Here is a 25387-nt window from a genome sequence, read left to right as displayed (position 1 = left end):
AGACATAAGCTGAGTGTGAACATTAAATAGGTCTGACATCTGATAAAATTGATCTTAATGTGGTGACATGGTGCTATAGTAGTTTTCCTCTTGTGGAAAAAAGGCAAGTTAGGTATTTAATTTCAGGATCTCCTACTTTGCACATTTCCTTAATATTACATAATTGTGTCAGCTGCTCTTATTTCACATGCTTTATTAATACTGAGTAATCTTTTTAGATATATTAGCGTACGTTACAAAAAGATATCCATCACACAAAAACATTTCAGAAACTACCATTAACCAAATTCTGTTATGGAAAAAATACTAAGCTAATTCAAAATTCCTATTTACTGTATACTTATGTGTGCCAATAGTATGAATATTTAAATAGAAAAATGAAAATTCAAGCAAGGAAAAAGAAATAGAAATACTCAAAATCTAGCCTAGTTTAGAATGATGCTTCCTGTTTGGAAACTTAGAGTGTTTAAGTCATAAACTGGAAGTAAATTTCTCTTTATCATTTTTTTAAATTTTTACAATAAAATTTACAATCTTGGATTTTTCCTTCCCCCCCTCATTTCTATTTTTCTTTTTTAAGACAAAGTCTTGCTCTGTCGCCCAGGCTGGAGTGCAGTGCAGTGCCACAATCTTGGCTAACTGCAACCTCCACCTCCCAGGGTTCAAGTGATGCTCCTGCCTCAGCCTCCCAAGTAGCTGGTATTACAGGTGCCTACAACCACGCCCAGCTAATTTTTGTATTTTTAGTAGAGACAGGGTTTCGCCATGTCTCGAACTCCTGACCTCAGGCAATCCACCTGCCTTGGCCTCCCAATGTGTTGGGATTACAGGTGTGCGCCACCGCGCCCAGCCCCACCCCACCTCATCTCTAAAAGGAGGGAAACAAAAAGAAGGACAAAGTCTAAATGTAGAATTGACATTTCTGTGATGCTGTAGTTTTAACTTAGATGTGAACACACTTACATGCAAGTCACTTCAAACATTTTTTCCTATAAATTAGAAGAGCTAAACCCAAAAGGAAAGCCTCATGACAAAAGAGAAAATGTATTGTTTATCCTAGTTAGTAAAATTTAGTAAGCTAAGATCAAAATGTTATAAGAAAAATGTAATTACTGCATGAAACTATGAATCTGAAAAGGAAACAAAAATTAACATTTCAAGTAAGTGAAAGCGGAATTTTTAATGAAAAAAAGCATGGAAACCTTTTATATTACATTAATAGACCTGGTTAACTCTTAATCTCCCCTTGGGTAGTAAGTAGTGATATTTTCTATATTTTTACTCTTTCCTGTGCTGCTGGTTGACTCCCTGTAATTCTTTTCTCCATGCAATATTTAAGCTAATGAAATCTACCAAGAAAACCCATCTCAAAACCCGAAGAGTTAATGGGAAATCATGCCAAGGAAAAATGCAAACACAGCACCCAGAGATGGAGGAGTTGCCTAAGACACAAAATTGAAAAGCTTACATGCCAGTCTTCCAGCAATAATTCCACAGATTCTCTGCTCCCATATTTAATGTTCCAAATATCCAATTTTGATTTCACTTCATCTACCAAACCAAGAACTAAGCACTTGTAGTAATGAAATTCTAGAAGTAGAATAAATTTTTTCTCCAAAATGTTGTTGATTCTGGAAAACAGTGCAGGTTTTGGAATTTAACTTAATATTATTGACCAAATGTGAGAAATCTGTTCAGCATTTTAAAAAATATTGAGGCTTTAACTTTTTCTTTTAAGCACATGGAACTCAGATGTATCATTGTCTTTTTCTTTTTTAAACATTGTAAAACGAATACTGTGACTAGGTATACAACAACCATTTCTAAGGTAAAAACATCAAAAACAGAACATTTTCTGAATAAACTATTCTCCGACTGACAAATCCTGTAATAAAATGCTGATCTATGAAATAGTTTACTAAATCTGAAAACTTCCACATAACTTAATAAAACTATAATCTAAGTTTATATATTAAAAGTTTTCATTATTAATGCTAACACCCTCTTATTATTCTAATAAGTTGTTTTTGAGTAATAAGAAAAGATAATGAATTAAATAATCTCAATATTTGTAGTATTTTACAGTTTGTAAAGTGCTTTCATATCCCTCCTCCCATTTGATCCAGTTTCCTGGTGAGACCTGGACAGGGCAATTATCATTAACCTAAATTTACAAAGGTGGAAACATGCTCAAAAAGAGAGTAACTTACCCAAAACCAAGATACAGAGCTCAGTTTCTGAATGTTTTCCATCACCATATTCTACCATTCAATAAAAAAGGAGGTATGTTGGCATACTACCTATAATGTTACTACTACATAAAACGTGAAGATACTGTTATCAAGATTTAAAGGAGAATACTTGGTAAAAATTATCTAAAAATCTGTATTTTGTGGTCCCTGTAGTATCAGTTGTTACTCAAACGTGAATAGTGACAGCAGCTGTGAAATGGTAGTGTTACACACCGTCTTTTCATTTCCTCCAATTTGTTAGGTGGTACCAATGGCAAGTGATTTTCATCCTTATTTTCAAAGGTAAGGAGAATGTTCGAATGATGCTCAAATCTATCCATCAGGCTCTGAAAAGAAATTCAGCATGACATAAACGATACTTATTGCCAAACACTGTAATTAAGGGTTTGTCAATCTCACTTGCATTACATCTTTTTTCAAAAAAAAATCATAAAACCCTCCCCACAACCCACCTTTTTTTTATTGTTTTAAGACACAGGGTCTCGCTCTGTTACCCAGGCTGGAGTGCAGTGGCATGATCATAGCTCACTGCAGCCTGGAATTCCTGGATTCAAGGGATCCTCTCACCTCAGCTTCCTGAGTAGCTGGGTCTACAGATGCAGAGCACAATACCCAGCTAATTTTGTTTTTTAAAAAAATTTCTGTAGAGGTGGGGTCTTGCTATATTGCCTAGGATGAAACTACCCCCTTTAACTAAGATTTTGTGAATAAATATTTTTGGCTGGGCGTGGTGGCTCACGCCTGTAATCCCAGCACTATGGGAGGCCGAGGTGGGCAGATCACAAGGTCAGGAGCTTGAGACCATCCTGGCTGACACGGTGAAACCCCATCTCTACTAAAAATACAAAAAATTAGCCGGGTGTGGTAGTGGGCACCTGTAGTCCCAGCTACTCGGGAGGCTGAGGCAGGAGAATGGTGTGAACCCAGGAGGCGGTGCTTGCAGTGAGCCAAGATCGCGCCACTGCACTCCAGCCTGGACGACAGAGCAAGACTCTGTCTCAAAAAAAAAATTTTCATCATAAATGTTTTAAATCTGAACATTTTACAGAGAGGCAGACCGTAGTTTCTTTAGTAAAACCATTATTACAATCTTTTATTTATTGGTGTATTTTCCATTCCTTTGTAGGCTCAAATACCATAAATCTCACATAATTTTTTTCATGCCATTTTAGTGAGAACCCAGACCCTCAAATTTTAAATCAGGCTCCCCCTTCTCCACCCTCCCACCCCTTGACCTTTTTTTTTTGGTAAGACTTTATTTATAGTTGCTTTAGAACTCTATCCTTATTTAGATTCTATCCTAATTGTTTCAATCTTAAACTAACACAATGGTCATGAAGGTAAAGTTACATTCTAGGTCCCAAAAATCCCCAGAGGAATCATTCTAAACCATCCTCAAATATCCACTATTATCCTTCTCTTCTTTTTAGGACAAAGTCTTCCTCAAGAACAATCCCTAACAAAATATGTATTTTCCTACATCTCTTTTTTTTCTTTTCCAACCTTGAATAAAGTCATTTTCTCTTGTATCAGAGTCACGGCTTGAGAGTGATCCTGGGAGGCTGACAAATCTTCATCCATAAGCTCTTCTACCTCCTGGAGCCAAGCTTCAGTTTGATGGAGGGGTGGGGGCAAGGCATAATTTAGCTTTATTTTCCATGCATTAATCTGAAAAAAAAAAAAAAAAAAAGAACATATTCTTCAGTAGAACTTTTCTAGTTTATTTCTTCACATACAGTATGTTTGATTCTTTGAAGTTTCTCTGGAAGCCAAGTCTGATAAATGTGATCAATTATCATGGAAATCTTCATCAATGGGTAAATTTCTTAGTTTTAAATATCACTTAGCTACTTGCTCACCAGGAATATAATTTGTTCAAAAGCTGTAGGAAAAGAAGGCATAAGAAAAAACAAACGTTTTGATAAATCCACAATAAGATATGGAGGAAATTCAAAAGATTAAAAGCACACCTCTAAGCAAGGATAGACTAACCTACTGAATGACCATCATTTGAAATGCCGTATGTCCTTGTGTGCTCTGACACTACATCTTTCATACAGATTTATAACTTCTTCCCTCTCTAGCCCTAACTGTATATCCACATGACATATCTCTACCATATCTCCCGAATATCTGTCCTTCACGAAAGCACCACCCATCCCCAAATCCAAGTACATCTCCTCCTTCTTCAGCCTCCCACCACTCCCTGCATGCACAAGCATGTGAGAAACACACTCTGACTGCTTGCTTCTCCAAATACTCGCTGTACTCTTGTGTCTTCATTCTCACTGCCCCTGCTACCTGGATGTCCCCCCGGCAAGCGCTGACAAAACTCACTCACACGTTCATTCATTTACTCATTGGCCAAACATTTATGAACAACCTATTGTGCTAAGAGCTGGAGATAAAGATACAGAAAGCTTCTGGTGTGGAGAAGGACCATGTGATGGTTACCCATCATTTAATGCTATGCAGCAGTTAGGCGAAAATTAGATGCTCAAATGCCAACATGGAAGCACCTTAAAATACACTGTGTTCAAAAATAAAAAGAAACAACATATAATCTGAAGGGTACACAACTTAAAAATACATGTACAGGTTGGGTGCAGTAGCTCACAACTATAAACCCAGCACCTCAAGAAGCCAAGGCAGGCGGATCAGTTGAGCACAGGAGTTCAAGACCAGCTTGGGCAACATGGGAAAAACCCCATCTCTACTAAAAATACAAAAATTAGCCAGGAGTGGTGGTGCACACCTATAGTCTCAGCTACTCAAGAGACTGAGGTGGGAGGATCACTTGAGCCCAGGAGGTCAAGGCTACAGTGAGCCATGATCATGCCACTGCACTCCAGCCTGGATGACAGAGTAAGACCCTGTCTCAAAAACAAAACAAAATAATACACATAAATTCAATCTATATTATGCAAAAACATAAAACGAAAAGAAACACATTAAAGATATCAAAATTGTGGCTCAAGGAGAAAGGAGAATGGAAAGAAGGTGAGTATAAAAGGAAATCAACACACAATTAAGCAAATGAATAAAAACAAGAGCAGGGCCCTGCCCAGCTCCATGTGTCGTGTATGAATGGAAGAGCAATTTAATACAACCCCCTATGTCAGAGTGTAAACCAGATAAATAAAAGCCACAGCTCTTGCCTGAACCACCTATCCAGAGAAGCAGCCAAGAACATGGTTACAGGAAAGTGTGTTAAGTGACGTCACAGAGCCAGGCAGGCGGAGGTTGCAGTGAGCCAAGATCGCACCACTGTACTCCAGCCTGGGCGACAGAGTGAGACCCTGTCTCAAGATACATATATATATATATATATATATATACACACACACACACACACACACACACACACACACACACACATGTACACACACACACACGTCTATATACATATGTATATACATATATACACATATATACACATATATATACACACATATATATATACACACACACGTATATACATATATATATGTATATGTATATATATGTATGCTGGCATGGTGGATCATGTCTGTAGTCCCAGCTACCTAGGAGGCTGAAATAGGAGAATCGCTGGAACCCAGGAGGTGGAGGCTGCAGTGAGCCAAGATCACACCAGTGCACTCCAGCCTGGGCAACAGAGCGAGACTCCATCTCAAAAAAAAGAATGTGACTTTTTACACAAACTTACTGCTGTACAGTTTGAATGTTTATCTCCTCTGAATCTCATGTTTAAGTTTGATACCCAGTATCGGGGCTGGGCCTAACAGGAGCTGAGTTCCCATGAGTGCTGGTTGCTGAAAAGAGTCTGGCACCTCCTTTCTCTCTCTGTCTCTCTCGCTCTCGCTTCCTCTCTTGCCATGTGATTTCTATACAAAAGCTCCCCTTTGCCTTCCACTATGAATGGAAGTAGCCTAAGGCCCTCACCAGAAGCAGATGCTGGTGCCACGCTTCTTGTACAGAAGCAGAAACGTGAGCCAAATAAGCCTCTTTTCATTTATTTGATACTCATATGAAGATCAATCACAAATTAAAATTTGTTTCACTCAACTTTCTCTAATGAAAAGTCCTGGTCTTAAGTCTGTATTTTATCTTTCTGTTACCCAGTCTAATTCTACTAAATGCACTGTTTTTATTGTTTGAGGTTTTTAAAATTATTATTTTATTGTAGAGACAAGGTCTCACTATGTTGCCCAGGCTGGTCTTGAACTCCTGGCCTCAAGCAATCCTCCTGCCTTGGCCTCCCAAACTGCTGGGATTGCAGGCATGAGCCCAGTTGAGTTCTATTGTTTTTTAAACAGGCAAAAATTTGTATATTAGAGAGATTACTTCAACATTAATTCATTCAAAAACATTTATGGGGTACCCATCATATGCAAAAGCAAATATCTAAAAGATATTTAACCAAGTACCCAGGTATACAAAATGAGGACAAAGCTGGGTTCCTTTAAGGCAGTCAAATGGAACTGTGCATAAAATGAAAGCATTAGATGTTACAGTTTTTCCATTTTGTTTTGCTTGTTTTTATCTTGCAAGTTTAATTTTCTCAAAAGGCATATGGCAAAGATAATTCTACAACCTTTTTTTTTTTTTTTTTTTTTTGAGATGGACTCTCGGTGTGTTACCCAGGCTGGAGTGTAGTGCTGCAATCTTGGCTCACTGCAACCTCCACCTCCCAGGTTCAAGCAATTCTCCTGCCTCAGCCTCTCCAGTTGCTGGGATTACAGGCACACACCACCACACCTGGCTAATTTTTGTGTTTTTAGTAGAGACGAGGTTTCACCATGTTGACCAGGCTGGTCTCGAACTCCTGACCTCAGGTGATCCGCCCGCCTCGGCCTCCCAAAGTGCTGGGATTACAGGCGTGAGCCACTGCACCTGGCCAATTCTACAATCGTAAATCATTAACTATTTGCCATTATGTCTCCAGATAAAAGAAAAATGAAAAAAGTTATTTCTTTATCGTAAATTTTTTTTCTTTTTGTTTTGAGACGGAGTCTCACTCTGTCTCCCAGGCTAGATACATATCTCGGCTCACTGAAACCTCCGCCTACCAGGTGCAAGCGATTCTCCTGACAGCCTCCTGAGTAGCTGGGATTACAGGTGTGTGCCACCATGCTTGGCTAATTTTTGTATTTTTAGTAGAGACAGGGATGTGCCATGTTGGCCAGGGCTAGTCTTGAACTCCTGACGTCAACTGATCTGCCTGCCTCAGCCTCCCAAAGTGCTGGGATTACAGTCACGAGCCACTGCGCCCAGCCATTTTTGTGACTTTTCAAATAAACAAGTTAGCATGTACTTTTAGTGTGTCTAATTACTTGTACATTTGCCAAAAGATAAAACAGAAATTTGATAAATAATTGAGTTAAAGAGAGGCTAAGAGCAATACCTCTAGTTCAACTATTATTCTTTGCACAACCAAAAGACAGCTGCATATATTTTGAATTAAACCAAACCTGTTTTTTCCGACTGAGGGCTACACTCAATATTTATACAGCAGGCAGAAGACGAAGAACAGAAGGCAATGTTTACCTTTCGTTCCTCTTCTTTCTCACTTAACACTTCCCTTCTGCAGTAATTACTTTTTGATTTGGCTGAAAATTTATGTAAGATCTTAACAGGTCAAAATAACATAATGTTGCTATTTTCTACAGTAGGCTCAGTATGAAACCATTTACTATGATACTCTGAGAAATCTCTGTTCTCAAACTATTGAACCAGAAACTGCATACATGGTTTCAACTTTTATGTCCTCAATGACTTTAAAATTAGCAATGTCTCATTTTGCCACACCAAGAAACTGAGCTGCAGTTTACCTGACTGAGGAATGGATTTTCAAGCTATTACCAAATTTACAGTACTTAATCTTGTAAAATAGTTCTTTTTATGGTTTTTCTCATTATTTGGGCAATTTTTCCATATTTCACAAAATCAGGCCAGGTCTCTGTGGCCTGGAACAGCCTGAGCTATATAGACAATATCTTCTTCATTGCCTTCCACTTTGTGAGGACCTGTCACGGACAGGTCTTATCCTTCACAAGAGTCCGTTTCAAAGCGGTGATCAGAATAGAAACTGACAATGCAATAAGCACCACACTGATGGGAAGATTCTAGGAGCTCCAAGTTCTTCAAAATTAGGTTGTCTAAAAGAGTGGCTCTTTTAAGCCACTGGACTGCTATTTAATACACTTAGTAAATGGTGTGGAAAATGTATTCTGAAAACAGGCTGCCACTCCTGACAGCCAAGCAAAGGGTCAGCAAACTTTTCCTGTGAAGAGCCAGATTAAGTATCTTTGACTTGTGGACCACACAGTTCCTGTCATAACTCTATAAATGTATTAAAAATCATTTCATTATCCATTTAAAAATGAGATGTTACATAAATTATTCCTCAATAAAGTCATTTTTTTAATGAAGGCAAAATAAAGACATATGTAGAGATCAAAGAAAACTAGGTGAATTTGTCACTCACAGCCCTGTATTGTAAAGTAAGTGAAAGGAAGTTTTCAGGCTGAAGGGAACTGAGCTCAATAGAAACTCAGATCTCTAGAAAGAAATTAAGAACATGGGAAATACCTAGATAAATATAAAAGATTAATTTTTTCATTTAATTTCCTTAAAATATATGGTTGTTTAGAGCAAAAAAAAAAAAAATGATAACATGGTCCTGAGGATTTTAAGACATACATTACATGTGTCATGTATATTTATATATAAAACCACTATAGCATAAATAATGGGAGATGGATCAATTTGCTTGCAGGATTTCTACATGTTACAAAAAGTTGTACAATAACTTAGATATTGTACAACTCTAAGGGTGGGTGTGGTGGCTCACATCTGTAATCCCAGCACTTCAGTAGGCCAAGGCGAGTGGATACCTTGAGCCCAGGAGTTCAAGACCAGCCTGGGCAACATAGTGAAACCCCTTCTCTGCAAAAAAATACAAAAGAAATTAAGTGTGCATGGTGATGCATGCCTGTTGTCCCAGCTACTCAGAAAGCTGAGGTGGGAGGATTGACTGAGCTCGGGAAGCAGAGGTTGCAGTTAGCCGTGATCAAGCCACTGCACTCCAGCCTGGACGACAAAGACCCTGTCTCAAAAAAAAAAAAACCAAAAAACCTCTAAGTAGACTGTAAAAATTTTATAATGTATATTATAATCCCTAGAGCAACCACTAAAAACATGATAGGAAGAAGTAGAGCCAAGTCAATAAACAAATTAAAATGGAATTCTTAAAAAACGTATGATCCAAAACCAGGCAAAAAAGGGAGAAACGGGGGCCAGGCACAGTGGCTCATGTCTGTAATACCAGCACTTTGGGAGGTCAAGGCAGGCAGATCACTTGAGGTCAGGAGTTCGAGACCAGCCTGGCCAACATGGTGAAACTCTGTCTCTAATAAAAATACAAAAATTAGCCAGGCATGGTGGCGGATGCCTATAATCCCAGCTACTCGGTAGGCTGAGGCAGGAGAATCGCTCGAACCCGGAGGCAGAGGTTGTAATGAGCCATGATCATACCATTGCACTCCAGCCCAGGAGACAGAGAGAGACTATATCTCAAAAAAAAAAAAAAAAAAAAGAAAAAAGAAAAGAAAAAAGACAGAAAGGAAGAAACAGAGATAGAAAAAGCAGAGAGAATAAACAAAACAAAGAGTTAAATGATATACCTAAATTGAACTATTTCAACAATTATACTAAGTGGACTAAGCACTACAATTAAAAGAGAGGGGATAGGCTAGGCACAGTGGTTCATGCCTGTAATCCCAACACTTTGGGAGGCCCAAAATTCTAATTCAGGGGCATTGCTTGAAGCCAGGAGTTCATGACCAGTATGGGCAACATGGCAAAACTCCATCTCTACAAAAAATTTAAAACTTTGAAAGGTGTGATGGCACACACCAGTTGTCTCAGCTACTTGGGAGGCTGAGACAGGCGGATGGCTTGAGCCTAGGAGGCTGAGGCTGCAGTAAGCCATGATTGTGCTGGTGCACTCTAGTCTGGACAACAGAGTGAGATTCGATCTCAAAAAAAAAAGACAGGGATTGGCAGAGTAGGTAAGAAAGCAAGATACAACGGTGTCATTTATAGAGATACACTTTGAATATAAAGACTCCAAATAGATGAAAAGTACATGAAGGAAAAAGATGTACTATACAGTCAGCATAGAAGACTGGAATGACTATACTGGTATAAGATTAAGTATAATATTACTAGATGTCAAGAAAAACAGTATTATTAAAGATAAGCAGGAATATTTCATAATGGTAGAAGTCCTCAGGAAGACAAAGTAATCATAAGCATGTACACACAATGACAATGTTTTAAAATACACGAAGCAAAATTTGACAGCATTGAAGACAGATTCCCACAGATTTTAATACTCCTCTCTCAGCAAAATATAATAGAATTGGACAAAACATCAGTCAAGACACAGATAATGTGAACATTATATGTGAAAATTATCAACCACCTTATATTAATTAATATTTGTAATTTGGAAGCAACGTAATCGCCCATCAACAGATGAATGGATAAAGAAAACGTGGTACATATACACAATGGAGTACTATTCAGCCATAAAAAAAATAAGGGCCGGGCACAGTGGCTCATGCCTGTAATCCTAGCACTTTGGGAGGCCGAGGCGGGTGGATCACGAGGTCAGGAGATTGAGATCATCATGGCTAAAACAGTGAAACTCCGTCTCTATTAAAAATACAAAAAATTAGCTGGGCGTGGTGGGATGCACCTGTAGTCCCAGCTACTCGGGAGGCTGAGGCAAAGAATCACTTGAATCCAGGAGGTGGAGGGGTTGCAGTGAGCCGAGATTGCACCCCTGCACTCCAGCATGGCGACAGAACAAGACCCCATCTCAAAAAAAAAAAAAAAAAAAAAAAATTAGCCAGGCATGGTGGCATGCACCTGTAATCCCAGCTATTCAGGAGCTGAGGCAGAAGAATCTCTTGAACTCAGGAGTCAGAGTTTGCAATGAGCTGAGATCACACCATTGCACTCTAGCCTGGGCAACGGAGCAAGACTCCATCTCAAAAAAAAAAAAAAAAAAGAATGAGATTCTGTCATTTGCAACAATGTGGATGGAAGTGGAAGTCACTATGTCAAGTGAAATAAGCTAGGCACAGAAAGACAAATATCACATGTTCTTACTTATTTGTGGAATCTAAAAATCAAAACAGTTTAACTCATGGAGACAGACAGTAGAAGGATGATTACCAGAGGCTGGGAAGGGCAGTAAGGGGAAATGGAGATGGTTAATGGGTACAAAAAAATAGAAAGAACAAATAAGACCTACTATTTGATAGCACAACACGGTGACTACAGTCAATAATAACTTAATTGTACATTTTAAAATAACTTGAAGAGTGTAACTGGATTGTTTGTACATCAAAGGATAAATGCTGGAGGAAATGGATATCCCATTCTCCAAGATGTGTTTATTTCACATTGCATGCCTGTACCAAAATATCTCAGGTACCCCATAAATATATACACCTACTATGTACCCATAAAAATTAAAAATTGAATTTTTTTAAAAGTTAACATTTATAGAATATTATACCCAATGACTGCAGAATATGTGTTCTTTTCAAGTGCACAAAGTTATGTACCATATGCTGGGCCATAAACCATGTCTCAATAAATTGAAAAGGACTGAAATTATACAGATATATTCAGACACACATGCACAAATTCATCCTTACTCTCTGTGGGTTTGTTCCTACTTCTTTCAAGCATCTACTGATATTGATACATGATAGTAGAGAAGCCGCCACAGGTCAATCAAAATATAGATAATCTACTGTGGCAAACCAAGAACTGATAGCAAATATATCAAGCTTGGATAAGCTTGCGTTTTCTCTAAGCAGAATGCAAAAAATCCCTACTTAAAAGAGGACCACTACCCAAATGATGCCATGGAGAAAATATAAAAACACAATCCCATTTTCTGATGAAGCATCTACACTGTCTTTTACATAATTTCTCATGGAAGTTTAAAATAAAGCCCTCATCCAAAAAAACAAAGCTGCCCTTTGAAAATGTTCTTTTTTTTTTGAGACGGAGTCTCATTCTGTCACCCAGGCTGGAGAGCAGTGGTACGATCCCGGCTCACTGCAACCTCTGCCTCCCAGGTTCAAGTGATTCTCCTGCCTCAGCCTCTGGAGTAGCTGGGATTACAGGTGCTCACCAACACACCCTGCTAATTTCTGTATTTTTAGTAGAGACAGGGTTTCGCCATGTTGGCCAGGCTGCTATCAAACTCCTGACCTCAAGTGATCCACCCGCCTTGGTCTCCCAAAGTGCTGGGATTACAGGTGTGAGCCACTGCTTTTGGCCTGAAAATATTCTTCTAATCAACACAAACAGTCACCTGGTGATCGAGGCCATCCCAGGCTTCTCTCAACTGTAAATGATCCTTGTCCAGCTCATCCAGATCCCGTTTTATTGACAGGACATCCAAAAAGGACTTTTTTTCTTCATTGAATGACTCCATAAAGGACAGCAGGCTCTGCAATTAGAAGAGTATTTTAAAGATTGAAAATGTTTAATTCCATTTATATCATATAATCTGTTATTTTGAGGTCTATAGGTATAGGATATATTTAAGTTTTTACTTAAAGGTAAAATCCCCTGAATCCAGTATCCTCTCTCTGCTCTGGTTTCCTTCTTCAGTGCACTGTGATAACTGGGCACCAGCATAATGTCATAGGTCTCACTCTGTGCTTTGTGTATTGTTGGATTTATACTGGAATGGAGCAGCAAGGTCACTGGGCTACAGGACAGATCATGATGCTACATGGAAAATATGAGTTTGTTTGTTCTCCGCAAGTATGCACTCACAACAGAATAAGAATGAATGAATGTGAAAATTATATGACGGCAGTAGTCATATATAAGCGATTTTCAAAGTGTTCATGAATAACTGAGCTTCAGCTTATTCTTCCCAATTCATTTTATATAAACTTTGAGAAACACTTTGCCTTCAAATATTTAGTAAGTAAAGCTTTTTCTTGGTTCACATTTGTGTGAAATATGGGTATTTAAGAGTTATCAGGCCAGGCGCGGTGGCTCATGCCTGTAATCCCAGCACTTTGGGAGGCAGAGGTGGGTGGATCACGAGGTCAAGAGATTGAGACCATCCTGGCCAACATGATGAAACCCCGTCTCTACTAAAAATACGGAAATTAGCTGGGCGTGGTGGCACCTGCCTGTGGTCCCAGCTACTCGGGAGGCTGAGGCAGGAGAATCGCTTGAACCAGGGAGGCAGAGGTTGCAGTGAGCCGAGATCACGCCACTGCACTCCAGCCTGGTGACAGAGACTCCGTCTCAAAAAAAACAAAAAAAAGAGTTATCAACTGGCCAGGCACTGAGGCTCATGACTGTAATCCTAGCAATTTGGGAGGCTGAGGCAGGTGCATCACTTGAGCCCAGGAGTTCAAAACTAGCCTGAGCAACATGGCAAAACCCCATATCGATCAAAAATACAAAAAATTAGCTAGGCATGGTGACACACACCTGTAGTCCCAGCTACTCAAGAGGCAGAAGTGGGAGAGTGGCTTGAGCCCAGGAGGCAGAGGTTGCAGTGAACTGTGATCGGGCCACTGCACTACAGCCTGGGAGAAAGAGAGAGATCCTGTCTCGGGGGGGGAAAAAAAAGAGTTACTGATTACACAGATTTTTTTTTTCTTTTTTTGGAGACAGGATCTGGCTCTATCGCCCAGGCTGAAGTTCAGTGGCATGATCTTGGCTCAATGCAACCTCTGCCTCCTGGGCTCAAGTGAACCTCCCACCTCAGTCTTCCGAGCAGCTGGCACTACAGGAGTGCACCACCACGTCCAGCTAATTTTTTTTTTTTTGTATTTTTTGTAGATACAAGGTTTCACCATGTTGTCCAGGCTGGTTTTGAGCTCCCGGGTTCAAATGATCCACGTGCCTCACCTCCCAAAGTGCTGAGATTACAGACATGAGCCACCACAACTGGCCATAGATAACTACTCAGCTCTGGGGTTGTAGTGTGAAAGTAGCTACTGACAGGTATGGCTCTGTTCCAATAACGTTTTATTCACAAAATGGGCCAACCTCTGCTTTAGAACCATGCTGCTCAAACTACTCCAAGGATCAGCATTAATGTTTTAAATGTCACTTAAAACATTATCCAGAATTATTGACAGCATTTTAAATGAAATGTTATGAGAAAGTCAAAGGATAATTAATTTACTTTAATTCTGATAATTAATGACTTCATAAAGCCTTCTTCCTATTTAGGAAACCCAAATCTGTGATACATTATTAAATCAAAGACATATGTGAGAACAATACACTTTCAGTAAATGATGAGCACTTTGTCGAGAAAAAAATCTTAGATCAGAGCTAAGGGAAGAAGGTCAAGAAGCCTATGCAGTTCAGACCAAAGGAAGAAAAAGATGTTTGATCCCTTCCTTCCCTGATGCTTCCAAAGCAAAAAAGGAAAGTATGGCCAGCAAGTTGCACAACCCACTGAATGTTACAGTTGAAAAGGCTGGACTTATCCAACTCTTTGACTTAACAGACAGGGAGATGGAGACCTAGAGGTGCTAAGTGCTGTGTGGGGTACCTGACAGTATCTGCAGCTTGTTCAGGACAAAGCACTGGGGAGAAGCACAGTGCTGTATAGACAACAGGCTCTAAGAAACGGGACTGAGGAACCTTTGCTTTGTTTCCTATTAAGTCTCTTTCAAGACTGTACAGGGAATAACTACTTACCCCAGAGAAGCATCACAACGTAAAAACAGCTGGGCTTTAAAGCTACACTTCCATTCAAATCCCATGTCTACCCTTTCAGTAGCCATGTAACCTTAAATAAGCCACTTATTATCTTCATCTGTAAAACTGGGATAATACCAAGCTCAGCAAGATATTTTAACATGTGAAATGCAAACCAGCAAGGTATCTGCTACATAGAAAATGTTCAACATGGTCAGATGTGGTGGCTCACACCTGAAATCACAGCACTTTAGGAGGCTGAGGTGGGCGAATCACTTGAAGTCAGGGGTTCAAGACCAGCCTGGCCAACATAGTGAAAACCCATCTCCACTAAAAATATAAAAATTAGCCGGGCCTGGTGGCGGATGCCTGTAAACCCAGCTACTCGGGAGACTGAGGCATGAGAATTGCTTGAACCCAGGAGGCAGAGGTTGTAGTGAGCCAAGGTCACACCACTGTACTCTAGCCTGGGCCACAGAGCAAGATTCCGCCTCAAAAAAAAAAAAAAAAAAGAAATGTTCAATATGTGGTAATAATCACAGTTGTCATTATTTGCCAAAGGACTCTCGGTTGAGCCCTGTATTGTAATTCTAGGATCCCTATTCCTGATTTTTCTTTCATTCAATATTCATTCTAAAAAGCATGTTCTGGGGCCGGGCACTGTGGCTCACGCCTGTAATCCCAGCACTTTGGGAGGCCGAGGCAGGTGAATCACCTGAGGTCAGGAGTTCGAGACCAGCCTGACCAACATGGAGAAACCCTGTCTCTACTAAAAACACAAAATTAGCTGGGCATGGCGGTACATGCCTGTAATCTCAGCTACTCGGAAAGCTGAGGCAGGAGAATTGCTTGAACCTGGGAGGTGGCGGCTGCGGTGAGCCAAGATCGCACCATTGCACTCCAGACTAGGCAACGAGAGCAAAACTCCGTCTCGAAAAATAAAAATAAAAATAAAAATAAAAATAAAATAAAAAGCATGTTCTGCTTTAAACCAGGGATTGGAAAACTTTTACTGTAAGGGGCAAGACAGTAAATATCTCAGGCCATATGGTCTCTATCACGACTACTCAACTCTGGGGTTATAGTGTGAAAGTAGTGACTGGCAATACTTAAATGGGTGTGGCTCTGTTCCAACAACATTTTATTTACAAAATGGGCCAACCCCTGCTCTAAAACCATGCTGCTCAAAGTACTCCAAAAACCAGCTGAATCAACATCACCTGAGACCTTGTTAGAAACACAAAAACTTGGGCCCTGCCCCAGAACTACTGAACCAGAATGTGCATTTTAACAGGACTACCCAGTGAATCACATGCACCTTAAAGTTTCGGAAGTACAGTCCTAGAATTCAGCCTTAAAACTTTCAGTGAATTTAATACTTAAAATACTTAAGCCTGAAAGAGTTTTCTAAAAACATACTTACGCTCAACTCTTAAAAGGTAAATTACAAACAGCTGTTTAAAATCATACTTACATTATACTTTTTAAAGTAGGTATCATTCTCTGAATCCTTTAGCAACTTCTGTAGTTTTTCCTTTTGCAGAGTTAACCAGCCCATAGCATCTTTCACCTTTCCCTGTATTTTACACACACAAAATTAAACTATATTTTAAACGGGCTTGGTTTTTTTAACAAAAAAATTAGCAACTTGAAACATCAGTGAAATAATGCCATCATTACACACCAATGATTCATTATGCCAAAGAGTAATTTCACTTGTTCACATAACACCTTAAATTTTAAACCAGATTGAAACTAGCATCTGAACATGACAATGTGCTAAAGAAATGGGCAAGCAACACACCCCCTCCCCCATTTTGGCTTGGAGAACATTATTCTAAATCACTTCTTTATAGCAGGCATTTCAGAAGACTGCCTTCCAATAAATCGAAATATGGGGTAATTCAAGAGATGTTCACACCCTGCAAAAACACTGACATCAAAAATAACTCAAACACTTTCGAGAGCCTAAAAATAACACTACCAAAGGTTTTAGCTATGCTATCATTAAGATGTGAACAACAATTACTTTTTCCGTAGATTCTTGCTTAGGTGGTAAACTTGCTTGCTTACATTTGGAAGCCAATTTTACTACTATAGGACAAAGAAGTTATATCTTATTTCCACTCTTCCTTAACCTTCATTTACTTTGTTTTTTCCTATTAAGTAAAAGTTTTCTAATATTTTTGCACTCAATTTCATGGACAGTTGAATCTTTCATTTTATTTTTTTAATATGAAAATTAGTTAGAAAAGAATAGCTCCTCAGCAGGCCAGAAATAAGTGAACCGAATTATAAGCCTGCATCTCAGCTTGAGACTCTCTTCCAGAGTCAGCAACAATCTGGCTTATTGCCTCAAACTTAACAGCTGGAAAAACACAGGCCCAATTTGTCAAATAAAATGCATGTAAACATGTCTGAAAATGCATGCAAACATGTGGTTTAAAATACATTTTTAAGTAATATCGAACATTTTGCTAAATTCACAGCACTCATTTATCATCTTAGAAGCAGAATAAGAGTTTCTTTTCAGCTCAGCAATTTTTATGAAGTTTCTACCCACAATATTTTGTGTAATTCACTGAAAGTAAAGGAGAAAAACTGAATAATCAAATGGCAATCTAATAGTAATTCAAGGCTGGGCACAGTGGCTCGCCTATAATCCAGCACTTTGGGAGGCCAAGGCAGGCAGATCACTTGAGGCCAGGAGTTCGAGACCAGCCTGGCCAACATGGTGAAACCCTGCCTCTACTAAAAATACAAAAAATTAGCCAGGCAGGATGGTCCATGCCTATAATTCCAGCTATCAGGAGGCTGAGGCACGAGAATCATTTAAGCCTGTGAGGCAGAGAAAATAGTAATTCAAGAGTATATCAACAAATAGGGATTAAGAGTAGAACACAACACTTTCATTTATATGAATCACACAATTTCATTTACATGAAGCTAAAGAATAGGCAAACCGGAAATGTGCTCAAATTAGATGATGGTGAGGGTTGCCTGATCATGTAAATACACTAACAACCATTGAAATGAACATATTAAATAGATGAATTTTATGGTATATAAACTATATCTCAATAAAGGAAATAAATATTATAATACAAAAAAATTTGACAGGCCGGCCGCAGTGGCTCACTCCTGTAATCCCAGCACTTTGGGAGGCCGAGGTGGGTGGATCACTTGAAGTCAGGGGTTCGAGACCAGCCTGGCCAACATGGTGAAACCCAGTCTCTACCAAATATACAAAAATCAGCCGGGTATGGTGGCACATGCCTGTAATTCCAGCTACTTGGGAGGCTGAGGCACGAGAATCACTTGAACGGGGAGACAGAGGTTGCTGTAAGCCAAGATCGCGCCACTGCACTACAGCCTGGGCGACAGGGCAAGACTCCATCTCAAAAATAAATAAATAAATAAACAAAAATAAAAATAAAAATAAAAAATAGAATATTATAATAAAAATTTGATATCTTTAGATTTTTAAAAGCTTAACTTCATTTGTCTTATATAGTGCCCATCTAAAAGTTGTTTCAGATAATTCAGCAAAGTTTAATAAATTATCCCTTTGAACCTAAAAAAAAAAAAGAACATTCAACACTAATCTACAGTAAAAGAAATTAGAATGCTGGTTGCCTGGGATGGGGAGCAGAGACAGAAAAGGTGCCCAGTGGAATATTTTGGGTACTAGAAATGTTTTACATCATGATTGAAGTATGATTTACAGGGGTGTATGCTCATTAAACTGTACATTTAAGTTCTGTATGCAAATTATATCTTGATTTTAAAAATTAAACCATTAGCAGGATACAACTAAAATGAGCTTGATTTATGCATATGAAAACATACCTGAGCCTCCTCTCCAGTCCCAGGGGCATCTTTGGAATACTGCAGAAACTGTGCCACATAGGTCATGATGGACTTTTCATCAGGATCAACAACATCCACATCTGCAAGATACACCACACTATCAATTAGCTGTTACACATTTACTATAATGAATACTCAAGAATGGGCTATGCCATAGCCTCTGCCATTTGGTTCACAGGCTCTGGAAATGCACCAAAGTAGTCACCCAGCCATCCAATCTCTGTTTACTCAGCCTTGCTGCAAGACTGTGCAGTGGCTAAGAGTTTAGATCTATACTCAGAGAGATCTGGGTTAAATCCTGGCACTAGTATGTGCACAGTCTCCGTTTTCTAATAATAAAGTATCACTATGGGGTATGTCTGAAGGCATAAGTAGTCAGAGAGGATGAAGAGGAGAAAATAAAGCATTCCTCTTTCTAGACACATAGTGCAGAAATTCCTCCAGGAATGCAGGAACATACAGCAATTAGAATGCATTCCTGACATGTTGGTCTTGGCATGTGTGCAGTAAAGCATCTCCAAAAGCATATATTGTACGGAAGGCTTATCTAAGACATCCACAGAGTTTGTTCATTCATTCATGGAACAAGTAAATCTACTGAAAGCCTTCTACAGGCCAGGCTTTGTGTTGCATTAAGAGTCCATGGTGAAATAAGTTTGTAAAATGCTGAATTAAACAAAATTTTAAAGACTACAAAATCTTATTTATCTTATTTTTTATTTTTTTTAGACAGGGTCTCTCTATGTTGTCCAGTCTGGTCTCAAACTCCTGGCCTCAAACAGTCCTCCAATCTCAGCCTCACAAGTAGCTGGCACAAGACACTGTGCCAGGCATATAAATTCTGTAAAGTGCAGAACTTCTCCAGGCATCTAATAAGTGAAGGAGATCATAAAATCACAAAAGGGTGAATGCAATATGTCACAGACAAAATGAACACCTAATTTGGAGGTGTTTCTTGACCTAAACAAGCAATGAAGATTATTGGAAAAAAAAAAACACTTCACTGTTTATTTATTAATTAAGTTAAACTTAAAGCAACAAATATTTACAGAGAGCCAATAAATGTGGGTCACAGGCAGGGGCTACAAGGATACATAAGGTATGGTCCATGCCTTTGGAGATCTTACATTTCAACCCTCTATTCATTCAGCTAGTAGATGCTAGATGCCTTAAAACATTATCTGCCCCTCAAGGAGTTTAAGGTTAGGAGAAAAACAAATAAACAAATACAACACACCATGCGTGCTTTAGTGAACATATTTACTAGGTTCAATGAGTGCTCTAAGTCACCTGAAGTAGAAAATAAATCCAATTCATTTGCAAACAATGTAATTCAAGGCAGTAAGCATATAAAAGCCAGCAATAAAAAGCTGAGGGTAGGGTCTCAATATAGGAAGAATTTCTAAGAATTAAGTTATTCTGTCTTTAACTGAAAAAGATATAAGCACCAAGAGATACGTAAAATAATGATATTGGCTTATTTAGATATTGCTTTATAAAAACTTATTATATACGAAGCCACACGTGAAGATTAAATGTGTTAACAATATTACGTCAAAATAGTTCCCTTATTCAAATATGACTATGGTATTTGGTTTGCATAAATAATCATGATGCATTTCACATTTTTGAGCTATTATTTAAGCCATTTATAATGAATTATGGGCAATTATGCGGAGGAAATTTGTTTTTACTATAGTGTCTATTTCATTAGTTGCCTGGTTATTTGTACATACAAAAATGGAGAAAATATTTTATACTAATAATAAAGATTTGGAGAATCATAATATAAGAAAAGTATTTAAAACAGTCATCAGAAACAGGAAATGAGAACAAAAGCATGAGGAAAAATGAAGGAAAAAGAAAAGCCAAAAGACAAAGAAAGGGAGAAAAGAAGGTAAAAAAGGAAGGGGGTAAAAAAAGATAGGGGTAAAAAGTTAACAAGAATTAGTAACAACCAACATGAAGCCAGACCAATGTCCAAACTGTAGAAATACGGCTGTAGGCAGGCCACGTACGGTGGCTTAAGCCTGTAATCCTAGCACTTTGTGAGGTCAAGGCGGCGAATCACCTGAGGTCAGGAGTTCTAGACCATCCTGGCCAACACGGCGAAACCCCCTCTCTACTAAAAATACAAAAATTAGCCATGCGTGGTTGCACATGCCTGTAATCCCAGCTACTCAGGAGGCTGAGGCAGGAGAATTGCTTGAACCCAGGAAGCGAAGGTTGCAGTGAGCTGAGATTGAGCCGCTGCACTCCAGCCTGGGAGACAGAACAAGAGACTCCATCTCAAAAAAAAAAAAAAAAAAAAAAAAAAGAAGAAGAAAAGAAAAAAGAATATGGCTGTAAGCTCACATATAAGTTCTAAGTTCACATTGGCTGTGAGCTTACAAATATAACCTAATTCAACTCTTACCAAAACCTGAAGTCCAAAGAGGCTAAATACCAGTAGTAAAGAGCACAGCTACCACACCAGATCTTGGTTTCTAATACCATTCTCCAATAAAAAGAGCCAGGGCTCCTTGGAGAAATGACTGATCCTAAGACTGGGGCAGGAAATATACAAGATGAGCCTGCAGCGTCTTGTCAGGCCAGAAAGTAAGAAAATGCTCAAAAACAAACAAGCAAACTTCATACTGATGGGGATAAATCAAAGGAGCATAAGAGCCAACTGAAAGAGCTCCTAGTGGACAAAACTTTGAGCGTAAAGAGGACTTTTTAAAAAATTGACCATTAAAATAAACGAAGTAGTATTGCATTACAACTAAGAGTGTAAAATATCAATAAGTCCATACTGATAGAAATAAATGACTGAATAAATAAGTAAATGGGGGAGAACAGACAAATCTCTGTGCAGAAGAACTTCAAATACTTTACACAGATAATCTGCCATCAAGGAGAGTGAGCCTTAACTCTCCCAAGTGTGGGCTATGCAGTGATTTCCCTCCAAAGAGCACAGTATGGAGAGAAGGGGGAGAAAAGAGTAACTTTACCATGAGAACCCTGATCAGCACTAGCTCAGCCAGGTGATCAAGGTAAGCATTGACAGTAATAAATCATGTTGACAATATATACCCTTGAAAGGATGTGATGAGAATGACATTCTACTGCTGAGTTCTTCCTTGCAAGAACACAAAAACCCAGTATAATCACGAGAAAAAAACATAATGTAAATTCCAATAAAGGGGCATCCTACAAAATACCTAACCAGTAATCTCTAAAACTGTCAAGGTCATTTATTTAAAAGTCTGGGAAACCGTCACAGTCAAGAGGAGTCACAGGAGATATGACAGCTAAATATAATGTGGTATCCTGGCTGGGATATTGAAAGAGAAAAAAGTCATTAGGTAAACACTAAGAAAATATGAATAAAGTATTACCTTAATTTAAAATAACATATCCATATTGGTTCATTAATTATAACAAATGTACTATACTAATGTAAGATGTTAATAGGGGAAACTGGGTGCAGGGTTTATGGGAATTTACTGCACTATCTTCTCAATTTTTCCATAAATCTAAAATTGTTCTAAAACTGAAAAGGCTTTTTTTTTGTTTTTTTTGAGATGGAGTCTCACTCTGTTGCCAAGGCTACAGTGCAGTGGCACGATCTCCGCTCACTGCAACCTCCACCTCCCGGGTTCGAGCGATTCTCCTTCCTCAGCCTGGGCAGAACTTCAAATACTTTATATGTATAATCTGCCATCAAGAAGAGTGAGCATAACTCTCCCAAGTCTGAGCTATGCAGTGATTTCCCTCCAAAGAGCACAGTATGGAAAGAAGGGGGAAAAAAAGAGTAACTTCACCATGACAACCTTGATCAGCACTAGCTCGGCCAGGTGAGGCAGTAACTGGGATTACAGGCATGCACCACCACACCCGGCTAATTTTGTATTTTTAGTAGAGATAGGGTTTCACCATGTTGGCCAGGCTAGGTCTTGAACTCCTTCCCTCATGATCCGCCCGCCTCAGACTCCCAAAGTGCTGGGGCATGAGCTACAGTGCCCCGCTGAAGTTTATTTAAAAATACAAAAAGGGGCCAGGAGTGGTGGCTCACATCTGTAATCCCAGCATTTTGGGAGGCTGAGGTGGGCAAACACTTGAGGCCAGGAGTTCAAGACCAGCCTGGACAACATAGCAAAACCCCATCTCTACTAAAAATACAAAAATTAGCCAGGCACAGTGGCACACACCAGTAGACCCAGCTACTCAGGAGGCTGAGGCAGGAGAATCACTTGAACCAAGGAGATGGAAGCTGCGGTGAGCCAAGATCACGCCACTGCACTCCAGCTTGGGAGACTGAGCGAGACCCTGTCTCAAAAAAAAAAAAAAAAAAAAAATTAGCTGGGCATGGTGGCGCACACCTGTAGTCCCAGCTACTGGGGAGGCTGAGGCACAAGAATCGCTTTAACCCAGGAGGTGGAGGTTGCAGCGAGCCAAGATTGTTGGGCAACACAGCGAAGACTCTGACTCCAAAAAAAAAAAAAGGAATGAAGTATTGATACATGCCACAACATGGATGACCTTGCAGACATTTTGCTAAGTTAAAGAAGCCAGTCACAAAGACCATATATTGTATAATTCCATTTATGTGAAATGTAATTAGCAAGTACTGGGGCATGGGGGGGTTAGGGGTAAATGGAGAGTAACTGCTAATGGTCACAGGAGTTCCTTTGGGGATGACAAAAATGTTCTAAAATGAACTGTGGTGATGAGTGAACAATTTTGTGAATACAGTTCTCCTTGGTATACACGGGAATTGGTTCCAGGACTCATCTCTAGATTGCTTTTAATATCCAATACAACGTAAATGCTATGTAAATAGTTGTTATACAATTGTGTAACATGTATTGTTTAGGGAATAATGACAAGAAAAAAGTCTGTACATGCTCAGGACAAATGCTTTTTTTTTTCCAAATATTTTCAATCCAGTGTTGGCTGACTCCATGGATATGGAACCCAGACATGAAGGGCAGGCTGTATACTAGAAACCACTAATTTGTATACTTAAATGATACATCATATGGTATGTGAATTATCTCTTAATAAAGCTGCTTAAAACCAAAAAGATTAAGTGACAAATCCACAGTCACCTGGTCAGTGAGTGTGCTGGAACTAGCTGACTCACATCAGCTGAAGAGAGTTGACTGCTAAATGTTCAGAAGTTTTTGTAAGCTGGTTGTGAAAAAATCATCAATAAAAATTAAATCATATAAATGCACAAATTATATTAAAAGCATAGGTAATAAATACTCAAAACTTATCACTTCCCAATTACTGTATTACATTTTACTATTAACTATATGCTCCTGAGGCTATCTGTCTATTGTATCTGTATGATGGAAACAACATATAATGGTGTGGGTACTGCACATCTTTTTCTAATTCTGTGTTCAGTGACTGCACATTGGTAACTTGAAATCAGTCATAGCAGTAGCATTTATCACACAGAAGTCTGCAAATGAAGGCTTGACTGTTGTTCTGTTAACTGCTAAAAAAGAGATGAAGAAATTGTTAATAATGCAGGTAAATCTTAAAAATATGTTCTGTCTAAAGCTGTTAGTTGCATTGCGAATAGCACAAAAAGTTGAGAAAATATTCTTCTAGTATTCAATTCAGCAAAGAAGTCATTCATGTCATTGAAGAACATATGAAGTTCTGATATACCTCTTATTACACTTACTTATTAACATAAAGGAAATTCTAAACTAACATTCATGTCAGAACTATACTTCTTCAGCAAATACAACCCTAAGTTAGTTACAGATGGATACAGAGTTTGGCAAAAATGAACAGAAGCATTTTGGAGCTATATGAAATCTATAAGAAAGCGTATCATAAACGTTATAATTATTTATAAAATAATACATATTCCTTAATATCAGTAAAATCTATAATAGTGTAAATGTGTGTACATTTCCCATTGTTTGGGAGAGCCAGTCACTAAACATTTGTATACACACCCCAGTAATAGAGCTGAGACTAGAATTCATACGTGCTTGACCTATTCGTTCATCATAATTTTCACTAATCCCATATACCTCTATTATGACCTTAATGTTTTTTTAATAGCTTTGGTTACATTATGAAACATTACAATTCAAAGTAAAGTGCTTTTGAGAAAGAAGTAAAATTTTTAAATCTTAATTTTATAAAGTTAAATTATAATTTGATGATGATCTCTAAAACTACCCAGTACTTAGGATGTTGTTGTTAACAATCCAACATGACTGAGCAGAATCAATGACCAACCACATAGGGACAGACGGGAAGGCAGCAGTTTCTGTTCTCACAGAGGTTCAGCTTTAACTCAGAGGGAGGGAGGAAGGAGAGACATATAAACAACTTTAATTCAAGACTCAGAGAAACATCTTACAAAAGAGATTTAGAATAGAATAACAGAATCAAGAAGAAAAAAACACAGAACATAATAGAAGAAAATCAAGACAGGCTCAAATTATTCCCAATAACAGCACTGTTTGCTTTCAGCTGTGGCTTCCCCTATAATT

At 38.7% G+C, this 25387-nt stretch overlaps 1 protein-coding gene across 29 annotated transcripts in view; it reads right to left on the bottom strand.

The window, feature by feature from the left end:
- SYNE2 (spectrin repeat containing nuclear envelope protein 2) overlaps positions 1-25387 on the bottom strand; it is a 464854-nt gene that overhangs the window by 245967 nt on the left and 193500 nt on the right. For all 29 annotated transcript variants that reach the window (XM_047431152.1, XM_011536576.3, XM_047431149.1 and 26 more), the window contains 6 exons: positions 18858-18958; positions 16483-16584; positions 12637-12774; positions 3756-3920; positions 2466-2578; positions 1469-1631 (listed from right to left, as the gene is read on the bottom strand). In XM_047431152.1, the coding sequence (XP_047287108.1) occupies positions 1469-1631; positions 2466-2578; positions 3756-3920; positions 12637-12774; positions 16483-16584; positions 18858-18958 (782 nt within the window). The remainder of the gene's footprint in view (positions 1-1468; positions 1632-2465; positions 2579-3755; positions 3921-12636; positions 12775-16482; positions 16585-18857; positions 18959-25387) is intronic.

This window comes from Homo sapiens, chromosome 14 (genome assembly GCF_000001405.40).
Source record: "Homo sapiens chromosome 14, GRCh38.p14 Primary Assembly".
Classification (NCBI taxonomy): Eukaryota; Metazoa; Chordata; class Mammalia; order Primates; family Hominidae; genus Homo; species Homo sapiens.
This window is presented reverse-complemented; position numbering and strand designations above follow the sequence as displayed.